Raw genomic sequence first — 14730 nt, 5'->3', positions numbered from 1 at the left:
CCCGTCTGAGGAGAACAGCAGGTATGTGGCCTCACAGGTCCACCCTAGTTTTCATATGGTCAACTAACTCTTCCCCCAAGTTGTTGTTGTTTTTTTTTTTTTTTTTGTAATTATGTCTTATACGTGTGTATTGTAGAAGTTTATATTCCAAAGTGTTTTAGTCACAATTGATTCAGTGGGGTAGGGCTCTTTACATTCCTGTGACTACTTACTCTGTCACTTTCTGAACCTAATTCATGATCATAGAAGCATGACTTTTGAGTGCTGAAAAACAAGACTGTGAGGGCACATGATCCTTGTCTATAGCATGACTTCAATTAGAGCATGTGCAGACTCAAAAGGCTGTGAACACTCACAGCCCCAGCTTAGACAAGGAAACAGGGTGTCAGAGAGGCTGGGCAACGTGCCCTAAGACACACAGCATCTTGTGGCAGAATCGGACCAGATCTTCTCACTTCTAGCTTGATCCTGTGTGAGAGTGGCTCAGTGCACTAAAGTCTGGGATATCAGTGTGAGATTAGATAGCTGCCCTATTAAAATTGGGGAAAGACAAATACGATGTTTTTATACAATGCTTTTAGATAAATACAACGTTTCTACCTTACACAGGGAGGAAAAAAAGGATATGGCTCATGACCCCGAGAGGTGATCAGGATTAAAGAATCTTTGGATAAACCTAAGGATCAATAGATTTGAAACACATTTGATAGATTGTTAAGAATTTTGTCCACATGTTCTCACTCATAAGTGGGAGTTGAACAATAAGAGCACATGGACACAGGGAGGGGAACATCACACACTGGGGCTTGTTGTGGGATAGGGGACTGGGGGAGGGATAGCATTAGGAGAAATACCTAATGTAAATGATGAGTTGATGGGTGCAGCAAACCAACATGGCACATGTATACCTAGGTAACAAACCTGCACGTTGTGCACATGTACCCTAGAACTTAAAGTATAATAATAATTTTTTAAAAAAGAATTTTGTCCAATGGGGTGGAGGTAAAAATAGCCCTAATGTCCTCACGGTCGTTCTTAAAATTTTGTGTCGATAACAAACGCCTGAGATACCTCCAAAAATGCAGATTCCCAGGCCCTGGACTCCCTTGCTCAGCATTTGAAACAAGCATCCCAGGTGATTCATAGACAGCTCTTTGAAAAGGGTAGAGGCCTAAAATAGCTTTGAAAACGTAAGTGATTAGTAAATATTTAAATTATTCCACTTTATGTGTCCTCTACATTTTCAGATGGGATTCCTTGTTCAGTTTCCAAGTTGCAGGTAACTTGCTAGATTCTAATGCTTGGAAAAACATTTTTCTGGGAGAAAGTTCAGATAAATTAGACATGTAAAATTAACTGTTCTATTCCATGAGCATATTTAGTTATCACCCAAGGCCTCAATGTTCAGAAAATTTCAAATTATAAGAAATAGTCAAATGAAAGCATGATATTCATTCATTAGTTCATTCACTCAGCAATTATTTATCGAGGGTATGCTTTGTGGTAGCCCCAGTGCTGGCTTCTGGGGATACCGTGGAGAACAGGACAGACAAGAGCTCTACCCAATAATGGATGATTGCAGAAAAAATAAAAAATAAAGAAATAAAAAGAACTCCAACCTCATAAGCATAAATCCAATCCTGGGACAGCGGGGAGACAATTAACTAAGCAAAATATAAATTAGCTAAACCCGATGGTGGCCTGGGGAAGAGCCCAGGTGCCGTTTCCAGCCTTCCTGACTTTTAATCTCAGCTTCATCACTTTCTAGCTGTCTCACTTTGGGGAAGATACTTAGCCTCTATAAGCCTCAAAGTTTTCATCTGTACAAGGGTACAACCACAGTGCCTACCTTTTGGATTGTCGTATATATTAAAGGACTTAGTGTAATGCATGACAAATAAAGGCTGGTTGCATACTAATTATTAATATCACCCCTCACTTATACCTGCCCTCAGTGACAATGCTGTCATTTTCTACTTATGGAAATCTGTTGGGCTTTTCCACAGAGTGGTGGCCACGAAAATATGCCTGAAAATTTTCAGGTGATTAATTAATTGATAAATTAATTGATGAATTAATGAATTAATTATTCATCAATTAATGAGATTAATTGATGAATTCTTCTTGTCTGGGGTTCTTTTCGATAATGTATCCAGCTAGATGCTGATGACTTCACCTCTTAGAAGAGATCACTGGGTCTTGGGCCACTTTTTAAGGCCCAAATAACATCTGCCGGGGGAACAATCTTATTTTCTCTGCATAGTTTATAAGGATAGGAAAAAAGGGGCTAAAATAAGCTATACAAGCTATGCCCTTGAGGATGTCCACAACAATCAGAGGCAGCGGGAAAGACGCAGGAGGAAGCTGGGGGTGGGATTCTCTGTGGACATGGCTGTGAAAGTCATCAGGGGATCGGTGTTGTTGACTCTGTCCTTGCAGGAGAATGGAGCTGAGAACCACAGAGCAGAGGATCCCTTTGTCTGGAAGTTTGTTTTGAACATTAAGACTCCAGAATGGAGATAAACAAATCTCACCGGGAAACTGGCAAAGGCTCTGGGTGTTGAAAAACCATGTGGCAAAATCATTGGGAGACAAACCTTCCAACTTCTCTGAGGGGAAAAAGGAAAGGTTTTGGGGCCAGCTTCACCCATGGCCATGGCCTTGCACCTCAGGGGCTGTTGCTGGGCTGCCGTTACTGGGCTCTTCTTCACCACAAAGAGCTCCCATCTTTCCTGACTCCCTGTCCCTAACTGGGGTCATCTCAAGCTCTCCTCCTCACTTTCTGCTCCCTGCCTCCCATTGCTGTTATTGACCAAGGCAACTCTTGGCCCCTGACTTTTCTCTCTGGTTGCCTTTCTCTCATTCCCGTCCCATTGCATCTCTGCCTCCTCCTCATCCTGCTCCTGTTCATTTACAAATAAATGCTCACTCACCCTCATCTTGAATACAAAGTCCTTTTAGTCTATAAGGTGTGGGAATGGTGGGGAGGGTGCTTGTAGTCTCATAGTTTCTACTTGCCATCCCTAGACTATCTGAATATCTTACCAAAGGTGACTATTTCTTTTCTTAGTTTTGAAAAATAATATGTTATGGTTAACAACATGAGAAAGATCTATGTATAATTGTGGGGGAGGGTTTTCATAGTATGTGATTAAATAAAAAGAAAATTACAGAAAATAGATACAGTATGTTCTTTAGGGTATTGTATATGTGATGGCAAATGCTGTTGAAGGATTAGACTGGATAATTTCTTCAGTTCCTTTCGCTCTAGTGTTCTTGGTTCTAAGCATAGAGCGGTTGAACCAAGTTTGAAGTTTGGCAGATCTGACCACATTCTCGGTTGGGGTAGGGACTTTTGTTCCCCAAGGGACACCACTGGTTTGTGCTGAGCCCCAGGCCCTGAACACAGAACAGACTTCCCACAGGGAGTGGTGCTTTGTATGAAGCTCTCTGAGCTTCTGTCCCCCTTTCCTCTCTTGGGGATCTCTGAAACCTAGGTAGAATTGATAGGATTTAGACCTGTTTTTCTGGTTGAAATAGCTTTGTGACTGGGCCATGCTTTTCCTCTTGTTCCTCACATTGTTTTGTGGGGAAATGTTAAGGAAAACAAAACCAAAATCAAAGTGGCTCCCAACATCTTTGGGAAGTTTCTTGGGGAAACAAAGGAACTGGCTTTGAGATCAGAGTGCCGGAGGCTACAGCATGGGCTCCAGGGGGGCTCCATGCAGATGGCCCCACCATAGGATTCTTCTGAGGCCTCACACTCACATGTGGCCACAGCCCAAACCTCCTTCCTGATGGTCATTCTTCCAGCAGAAGGAAGGAGCTGAGGTGGAGGCAGCTCTGGATAGGAATTTGGGAGATCTGAAAACTGGACTCAGTGCTGCCATTCCCTTGGCTAACCTTCTCTGGGCTGTTTTTTATTTTATTGGTAGAACCATCTAAAAAAGATGTCAGGGAACATTCTATCCTACGTTCCATTTTACAGATTAGGCATAGAGGGGCTTCACTCTGCTCCTGGGAGCTCCCTTGACCATTGAAAGCTTGTCCATTGCCAGGTTTTGTGGGTTACTCATTATCGACCCACATTTTCTCTTCAGCTTCAGTTCTCCTGCTTGTAGTGCCCACCTCCTCTGTTTCCCTTGAATAAAGCTGGTTATTTCCTCAAGATTCCTTTAAGTTCCATCTTCTTGACTCTGTCCTCAGAGCTCCTCTAGCACTGACTACCCAGGTCAAGCATTGAGAAGGCTCACTCTATCCCATGCCCCTACCCTATCCCCCTTTGGTTTCCTGAGCAGAGGAAATTCGCTGACCTTCCCGTGAATTTGTTCATCTTGGGAACCTTGTACTCACTGCTTCCTATACCTGGTTTGCTCTTTTGATTCTTTACACAGCTGGAACCTTGTTATGCTCTAGATATTACCTTAGTTGCCTCTGCTCTAGGAAAACCTTCCCTTCCATGACCAGTCTAGCTAAATCATCCCTAACAGCATCTTTCATTAATCCATGGAGTAAAAGCCTTTCAGACAACATGGACTTATTTATTTCAGTTTGGAGTTCAGCTAATTAACTCCCATGCCCCCTTCCCCAATGTTTGGTCCTCTTCCCTCTTTATTTCCTTGGCTCTTTGAGACCTAAATTCTGTCTCTGAATATGGTCTTCCAGTAAATGCTTTAGAATCTGCTGAGGATGCATGTCTCTTCTAGTTATTAATAATTACAAATGGGTTCACAGCCACACAACAGTGAAGTCCATTGTTGCCCTGTGCAAGAGAAAAGAACTGGGAATCAGAACATCTGGGCTCTAGTTTGCCCTCACTTCCTAGCTAGGTGACCTTGGGCAATCAATTCATTCTTTGTTTCAATCTACTAAGCTGTAATGAATAATAATATTCACTGCACATTGTTATATGTTATAATTATCCCTTCATGGAATATATCTCAGGATTGTTCAAGGAATGTCATGAGAAACTGTGTGCTTTGTAAACTAAAGTCTGTGCAGAGTAGGTTGTGGTTACATCTCATTATAAATTATGGGTTCAGGTTCAGGCATTTATACAGCATTTATACAAGGTGACATCATATCCCCTAATATCCAGAAAGGGCATGGAAAAGGAAAGGCAGAAGTCAGTGGCTATGTGTGTGCTAGTCATTTCCCCATTGACCTCTGTACAGTACGTTCTACTGCCTGGAGTGGAACACTGTGATCTTGATGTGTTGCAACCCACAGCAATGCCCTCCTGCAAGTGCCCTATAACCTTGGAATGGGAATCAAACCTCGACTTGGGAGAGAACCCCACAGGTTTGATACCCCAAATCATAGAGTTGTAGGAGGCAAGAACTGTAAGAGTTCTTAGCGTTCATCAAAACTAAGTTTCTCCTTGTACAGAGTCCCAAAGAAGTTAGGAATTGGGTAAAATCATGCAGTGAGTCCACAATGGCAGTAATAATAAAGACAAGTCTCCCGGCTCTCGACAGCCACTCAGTGTTTAGAAATTCCCATGACCAATTCAGTTTCCATTTGTGAATTACGTCTAAGAGGAAACCCTTTCATCTACTGTAGAGACATACTCACAAAAATATACCAAAAGGAAATTTTATTTCAACTTTTTTTTGTAATACAAAAAGATTGGGAACAGTCTAAACTACAGTTCACAGGGAGATAAGCTGTGGCATATCATACTGAGGAATATTACACAGCAATTTGAAAAATGGGGTGCATATTTATGTAGTAACCTGGACTATTCAAGACTTGTTGTCTGGTGAGGGATGCCTTTTATGGAATAAGAAATGGTCGGCGACAGAGTGAGTCTCTGTCTCACAAAAAAAAAAATTGTCTGGAAGGCTATTCACTGAACTACTAGTAATAGTGGGATAGAAGTTGGGGGGTGATGACAAGATGACAGGATTAGAGAGGAGTCTATGGGGACATTAGCTATAGGGACCATGTTTTAGTTTATGTATTTATTTTTTAACCAGGAAAATGTATTCATGAGTTCTTGTATAATTAAAAATTAATAATAATGATTTTAAAATTAGCCTTAGGCCTTACTGAGCCCTTCTTCTGGGCTTGTAGGGCTGATTCATGACTGACTAAGCTTGTATGAGTCATGGTGGCTAAAGGGAAGGGAGAGGGCCACTCTCCATCTCAATACTGTCTGGTCTCTCTGCTCCTGGGGACTCCTTTGGCCTTCGAGAGCTTGTCCCTTGCCAGGTTTTGAGTGTGAGGACAACGTGTCCAGGGGCCAGTGTGGCACCTCCCATAACTGACCTGGTGACTCAGCATAAGGTCTCCAGGACGGAAGAGCCTGCACACCATGGCTGGCACAGAACCATAAAACTTGTGAGCCTGGAGCCTCCAGTTCTTATCTCAGTCCTGTTTCTACCTTCCAGGGGCTCCAGGGCAAGTGCCTGCCACCTCAGCGTCCTGCCTCTGCCCACTGATCTGACCTCCCCTTCTAGCATCAACCCCTCGCCCACTCTGTTCCAGACACGGGCTTCTTTTCTGTACACACCACATCCCACGCTTGCCTAGGGTGTTCACGGGTGCTGTTCCTTCTGACCTGAAACCCCTTCCTTCTGAATTCCATGTGACTGGCTCCTTCTCATCATTCAGGTCTCAGCTCTAGTGAATGTTGCCTCTTGGAGAGGCTTTCCCAGTTGTCCTTTCTCCCTCGGTACCTCTCTGTCACAATGCTCTATTTTATTTCCCTCAGAGCACAGAACGCTATCTGAAGTTGTGCTGTACACTTTATTTGTGCACTTGTTAATTGACATCGCCTACTGGAATGAAAATGAAAAAGGAGCAGGCACCTGTTCTGTTCTCTGTCCAGAGCTTGTTGTGTGCTCAAGTACCAAGAATGGCATCTGGCACATAATAAGTGCTCAGTAACTATTACTTGAGTAAATGAATGAATTTCACAAGCCCAGAGAGAAGTGTGCCCCTGGAGAAGAACAACTCCAAGTTTCCTTCTAGCCTTACAGTCCAAGAGTCAGGAGGGATTAGACAAAAAGACAAGCCCCATGGCTCTTCTTCCTAAGTCAGCCACTACAAGGCTGACGGTGCGCAACTTGTTACTTAATCCCCAGGTGTTTCAATTTGCTTATCTGGAAGATGAAGGGATTGGACTAGATGCTTCTTTTCCACTCTAAGCTTTTACTATGCTGTAAAATATAAATGGCTTGGGTCCACCTGCTTAAATCAAGATATATGTGTGAACTTACTTTCTTGAATACTCTCCTAATATCTGTTTGAAAATTTCCCCTCATTTTCCTCTTTCTCATAAAAAATAGAACGTGAAGTGTGTGGCAGGATGGTCTCTGGTGCACTGTAATATGGAGCCCTTTATGCAAAATTCATTATTGAATCAAAGGCTGCAGTTTCCTTTCCTCACTTCTTTCTTTGCTTTCCAAACAATTGTCAGCTTTGACACCTTTATTAGTGTCCTTTGGTCTTGTAGCAGAATGAACATGCTAGGCATCTCATCATTGGGGCTGTATTCCAAATATGACAAAGCAGGCATGCAGAAGAGCATGGAATATTTATTCCCAAGCCCCTGGTGAGGAGGGTGAGCTCCTGACTTTCCATCCAGCAGAAAGGAGTTGGATCAGCTTGGTCTCTGGGGTGAGGTTCTGGTTTCAGCACTGTGTCTCTACCTCTCTTTTGAGAGGTAACTAATCAGGTGCCCTTGATTTGGAGGCTGGAGGCCAAAAGCATAATAAAGACTTCTTTTACTGAGCGTGTGCTGTGTGCCAGGCACTGTGCAAAGGGCTTTGCATACATTATCTTATTTAATTTTAATTTCTTCCAAGAGCCCCATGAGATAAGAATTGTTATAACCCCCATTTTTCAAATGAAGAAACTGAGGTGTAGAGAGGGTAAGTCAAATGTCTCAGCTCATGTAGTAGTGGGGCTAAGATTTGAAACCAGATTATACTAGAGCTTGCAATCTTTCCCACTGCTATATACTGCTGTGTGTATAGTATAAGATCCTATATATATCCTGGAGCACAAGTCCTGCTCTGCCAGGATAAGGCACAGCTAGTAACAGTAATCCCTAAAATTCAAGTCTCTAATCAAGATTTAAAAAGTAGTACTCACCATCAGATTGCAAAACTTATGTTGTAAGTCAGGCACCATTTGTTTCATTGATATATACACAAGTGCTTATTAGGTGCCAGGAGAATGTATATACTTTGCTGCCCCAGAGATGGTCCCTGCTCTTGTTGGGCTTGTAGTCATTTGATGCTTGAGGAAATAAAATCTGAGAGACCTAGAGAAACATGTCCAATTCCATCCAGCTTGTCAGTCGGAGAACTGGCACTCAAACCCAGTCACTGGGCCCCTTGACCACTAAACTTTCCTGCCCAATGGAAAGCAAGACCTCAGTGGCTTCTGTTTTGAATGGCTGTCTATAATATTTTTCTTACCTAGATTTGTTGAAGTATCTTTAAAAAGCATTCAGTAAGTTGCCAAAGATATTGATGATTATGGGTGACTACAAGACAGTAGGATTGCTCAGCAATGGCATCATTGACCTTGTGAGCAGGATACATCATTGTTATGGGTTTTGTCCTGTGCATTGCGGGATGTTTAGCAGCATCTCTGGCCTCTACCCACTAGAAGCTAGTAGTCAGTTGTGACAACCAGAATGTCTCCAGATATTGCCAAATGTCCCCAGGCAGGCAAAAATCTTTCCTGGTTGAAAACTGCTGGAAGACAGTGAAGAAAATTAAAACAAAACAAAACACAAAATCCCCTCCTCGGCTGGGTGCAGTGGCTCACGCCTGTAATCCCAGCACTTTGGGAGGCCGAGGCGGGCAGATCACGAGGTCAGGAGATTGAGACCATCCTAGCTAACACGGTGAAACCCTGTCTCTACTAAGTAAAGTACAAAAAGTTAGCCGGGCGTGGTGGCGGGCGCTTGTAGTCCCAGCTACTCAGGAGGCTGAGGCAGGAGAATGGCGTGAGGCAGGAGAATGGCGTGAACCCAGGAGGCGGAGCTTGCAGTGAGCCGAGATCATTCCACTGCACTCCAGCCTGGGCAACAGTGCAAGATTCTGTCTCAAACAAACAAACAAACAAAAAAAATACCCTCTTCATGCTCTAAGGCAATGATAGTGTTGCATATGTGAGACACACATCATATGTGATGTGTGATATATGATGAGTGGGAACTCAAAATCTCATTTAATTAAGACAATTCTTGGAATGACTTAGAAATCTGGAGCTATGGAGCGATCACTCTTCAGGTATGAGATTAAACAACAGGTATGGTTTAGGGGCCATAGATGAACAATATGTGTCTTTAAACTCTAGAATTACCCCCCATGGGGAGAGATACTCACTTAATAAAAGGCAAGAAATGGAAAGGTCAGTATTCCACTGTTCTCATCTCATGCCTGCATCCAGGGAGAGAAATAGCAGAGGCTAGATGGTGACATAGGCTCTGGACTTAGAACTCAAAGTATGGCCCATGGACCAGCTGCCATTATGTCACATGGGAGCTCGCTAAAAAATGCAGAAACTCAGGCCCTGCCCCAGTCCTGCAGAATCAGAATCTGCATTTTAATAAGATTCTCAGGCAGCTTGTTTGTACTTTGAGGTTTGAAATGTAGTAGCCTACGGTGTTAACATGCACTTCAAGAATTGAGAACTAGCCTGTGGTATTTAAACGGTTCCCTCACTTTTGCTGACTGTGCATGTAAGTGTGTGGATGACAAGTTTGCTTCACTTGTTTGCATAACCTCTATAAGAATGTGGTTCTGTGTAGGTTGGAAGCATCCTGGACTTTCTTATTAGGCAGGGTTGCCGAAGGTGGAAGTGAGGTATGGGAGTAAAGGTTGTGCTGTGGTGTGTGTGTGTGTGTGTGTGTGTGTGTGTGTGTGTGTGTTATCTCGTAAGTTTTAAAATATGAAGCTACTATGTGTAATTCTTCCTCTGTTCATTCCCCTCCTGGAATGTGTGAGAAACCCTATCACTGCCAATTATTATAAATAAGGCTTTAGAGATGTCACTTGACTGCTCTCAGACAACACATTCCTCCCGTACACGAAGGTGGACCAACACCTACTTTGCAGACATGGTGTAAGGATGCAATGAATCCATGACTTCGGACAGGGACTTTCTGTACGATTACAGGTTATTTGTTATCATCATAGACGTGAGGAATCAAAAAGGTTACTGCAGATTATGTTCTCTGTAGTCCAAATGCCCTGCAGATGCTACCCTCTGCTGGCTTGGCAGTGAAAGTTTAAAGAAGCTTCAGAGGATTAAGAAAGGAAACTCCGGCATTGAGGACCCCTAAATTCTATGCCTTATCCCTCATCCTTGTGAAAGGGAGCTTTGAGGTAGTGTTTGCCAATATTTCAGCTAATCAGAATCACCTAGGACATATGAATAAAATTTCCAGTGATCCTACCTTCAGGGATTCTGATTCACTGGTTGAGCAAGGTCTGAGAATCTGTGTTGTGTTAATGTGTCCCAGTGATTTGCAAATGCACTCGGTTTCACTGGCCCATGTGTGTTTTCAAAGTGTGGTCCTATGATCATTTCCTGACTTGCTGGCTGATGTGGATGTGGCCTAAAATAGGATAGGGAGTGAAACAAGTAAGGGACCAGTACCTTCCAGTTGTGTATTAAACACCACATACCTGGACTTCTGGATGCAGATCTGGGGATACCACTTGGCTAAGTGGGACTTAGCCAAGGTCTTCAGAGGAGCAAGACCAAAATAGTACAGGGACTCAAAGCTACATCATATAAGAAATCGGGAAGCAATCGAATGGGGAAATGTTTTATTTGCTCAAAGCATTGAAATTTATCAATAAAAACACACAGGAAAAAGAACGAGAGAGACACTATTTTTTAATTATTAAAATAGATTATTAGGCTGGGCGTGGTGGCTCATGCCTGTAATCCCAGCACTTTGGGAGGTTGAGGCTGGTGGATCACCTGAGGTCAGGAATTCTAGACCAGCCTGACTAATATGATGAAACCCCCTCTCTACTAAAAATACAAAAATTAGCCGGGTGTGGTGGCGTGCACCGGTAGTCCCAGCTACTTGGGAGGCTGAGACAGGAGAGTTGCTTCCTTGAACCTGGTAGGTGGAGGTTGGAGTGAGCCGAGATCACGTCACTGCGCGCCAGCCTGGGTGACAGAATGAGACTCCATCTCAAAAAAAAAAAAAGAAAAAAAAGAAAAAATAGATTATTAGACAATGAAGCCAAATATCATAAAGTTAAAATTAATTGAGTATGTAACTTCATTTTTTGTTCCTAAGTAAACAGCCTTTTAAAATGTAAGTCTATGAAAATGCCAGCCAGTTGAGAAGCAAGAGGCAAAAAATGTAGCCAGGCTGCTCTTGGTCTGAGGCAACTGAAAGGAATCCTTCTGATTATCTCTGAGGACAGGCAGATCTGGTTTTGCTTGGAGGTATTTCTGTGTACACTTCTTGGCTGGAACTGAGATTTTATCTCTGTTGTGGGTGGTAGGCACATTCTGCTTTCCTGGGCACCTTTTTCTATTCCTCACCTTGCAATGTCCAGATGCACGGATGGCACCTGAAACCAGCAGAATGGGATACAGTCATGCTCACACACCAATATTAATAACAAAACCCAAACACTTGTAAATGCCTCTTTTAATCCTCACAGCTATTCTGTGAGGTAGGCCTTTTAATTCCACATTTAATAGTGATATTTTTCTACATAGGAGTAAATATGCCTAAGGTAATATATCTTGAAACTTACAGAACCAGAATTTGAATGGAGAGCTCTGACTCCAAATCTAATAATCTAGTTTATTATTAAGAGGAAAGAGCACACTGAATTAAGGGCAATATTTTTGCTATCCTATCGGCCAATAGTTTATTTTATCAATTTTCCTGTGCAAACCAGAAGACAAGTCCAAGGACAGGGTGGGGGTCAGGTTGGAAGGTATGTGCCTCTGTCTGTGATCTGCCCTTGGGTAGTCTGTGTGGGCAGCAGAGTGCACCTTCAAGAAGTAAGAATCAGGAGGGGGCTCTGTAAACGGTTGACTCTCTACAGAGAACATGGGTTGGGAAGAGACGTGTGATCAGGGAGAAGATAGTGCAGAGACCATTTCTGCAGGTAATGACATTCATGGAGGATGATTCAGATAGCACCCTGTAGGGGCTGTAACCTGCCGGCAGCGCTCTATGGGGGTCACTAGGAGGCAATGGGAGATGTGGAATCTTCAGTTATTGGAATATACTTGTTGCAGAAGATATAATATCACTTGATTTCCTTCCTCTACTTTCCAAGACACTGTGGACATTTTACTTGGGGTGGGGAACTGGTGATACAGCAGCCTAGAATGAGAGGCCCCAGCCTCCCTTCCATGAGCACCTCCGATACTTTGCACTTAGCCATGCATTTCTCCTTCCCCTTCTCTGCTTCCACCTTATTCTTTTGTTTATTCACATATTTACACGTTTGTAACGACACATTCAGGAATAAATTATTGTTGTGAAAACTTTGGATAACACAGGGTACTTTAAAAAAAAGAACGTCTCTTTTCCCCTTACCGCATCTCATCGTCCTCCCTCATCCAGCCAGTAGAGGGCAGGGATGTTGCTTGCTCTGCGCCCTGCTGGGTTCCCCTCAGGCTTCCATGGAGAGGCACTCAGCGCACATTTGCTGGGGGAATAAATGCATTGAAATCACCAGGCTGAGGTGATTCCTTTTCTATACACACACAGACACATACATGTAACTGGGATGTTTTATTTTCATAAAAAGCGTCATAATGTATGCATTGCATTGCCAGTTTCTTTTGCTTCTCTGTCTTCTCCTTCCCCTTTTTCTTCTTTGTGTAATATGTCTTCAGGCTGTTTCTTTGACTCTATGAATACCTACTTCATAGAGGTAGGTCTTTTTAACTGCTGGATAATCACTCCTGTGTTGATGAGCATTTGCGTTCCTTCCACTCCTCACTATTTCTTGTGATGCTGCTGTTGGCTTCCTTGCACAGGCCTCTTGCTACACAGGTGTGAATATTTCTCCAGGAAAGACACCTGAGCAGGACTCACTGGATGGCAGGGCTCCTCTTTCCTATCTCATTTACTGGGTCAGATGCCTAAAATCTAAATTTTCCTGAAAGATAAGCTGAACTGAGGAGAAATTCCTTTCCCTGGGAGTGGTAGGGAGTGTCAGTCCTGGGCTTGTATCATGAACTTGGCACACATAGAGACACACGCACACACATACACACACACATACATACACACACACCCCCACGATCCTATCCCAGCCTGCTTGCTAGGAAACCTAGTTTTCAAACATTAACCTGTTTTGTGGAAGCACACTGATCATGAAAGTCCTGAGATTTGGGGAGTTCTATTGTAGAATTTGTCACAGACATTCCAAGAAAATGTAAAACAAGTAACAAAGCCTCCATGGTCTTTAGTTTCCTCATCTCTAAAATGGGTTTGGAGCAGACGAGGAGTAGAAGAGTAGACACATTACTGTTCAAGGACACTTTCAATGCTACCCTTCCAGGGTAAGGCTTCGGTTGCCTGCCCTTGACCTTAGGTTTGCTGTGGAAGCCAAGAAAAGGGGAGCTGGTGCTTTGGAAAGAGCAGTTGGCTTTTCCGGGTGAGTCAGACCCAGCAGCTTGGTGACCTCTGCCCGGGTCAGCAGTCCCACCTCCTCTTCTGGAGCTGCTGCTGCTGGTTCCTTGGCTGACTCTTGGAGAGAGCACGTTTCACATCCTACACAGAAGAAAGTCTGGAGAACATCTCCCCCATGGCTTACTAATCTGCATTTCTGACGGCCGCCAGGCTACTCTCCCACAGATGCCTGGTTTGGTGTTTCTGACAAAGCAGCAGAGCAGAGTGATGAGGACAAAGGCCCTGGGGTCACACTGCCTGGGTTCCAATCCTGCCACTGACAGAGCCAGAGCAAACCACTCAGACTCTTAGTTTCCTTATCTTTAAACTGGGGATCATGTTAGTATAGCTCTTATGGGGCATTGTAAGGATTAAATAAGTTTTTACTCATGGAGTGCATAATTTGTGTCCAATAAATGCTTTTATTATTAATGTTCAGAAAGGGGCATAGCCCCTAGACCAAGTAAGTGGTCAGTAAATGCATGCGGAATAAATGACAAATGCTTGAATGAACTGGAAGACAGGCCCATGTTCTGGTTCTATTTCCATGTCTGACTTCTGACACCAAGCTTACAGCTCCTCCCAACTCTACTGACCTCCCTGAAACATTCCTCCAATTTCCTATTCTAGCACTTTTACTAGTGGTTTCTCTTCCATTTGGAATATTCTCCTCAGTTGTTTCTGCTGTCAAAAACTCCACCCTTTAAAATGCAAATTACATGTCACCTCCTCCATGAAGCTTTCTTTGTTTTTCCCATTTGGAAGTGACATATTCCTTCTCATATTTCCAATATATTTCTCTGTTAATGATACCCACATTTATATTTTAAATCCCTATCATTCTTATGAATTCCAAGTTAGTGCATCTAACTGTCTATTTGGTATCTTCAGTATCAAGTACTGAATAGACCCAAACTTAATATGTCCACACCCCACCAACCCACTGCACTAAGTCATCTCCATCTGCAGGCTTTCCCATCTCAGTTAAAGACAACTCCATCTTTCCAGGTATTCAGGCCAAAACATTTGGAATTTGCCTTGATGTTTCTGTATCTCTCACAACCTTCTATCTAATCCATCCAGAAATCCTGCTGATCTAC

This window comes from Homo sapiens, chromosome 5, assembly GCF_000001405.40.
Source record: "Homo sapiens chromosome 5, GRCh38.p14 Primary Assembly".
Taxonomy (NCBI): Eukaryota; Metazoa; Chordata; class Mammalia; order Primates; family Hominidae; genus Homo; species Homo sapiens.
This window is presented reverse-complemented; position numbering follows the sequence as displayed.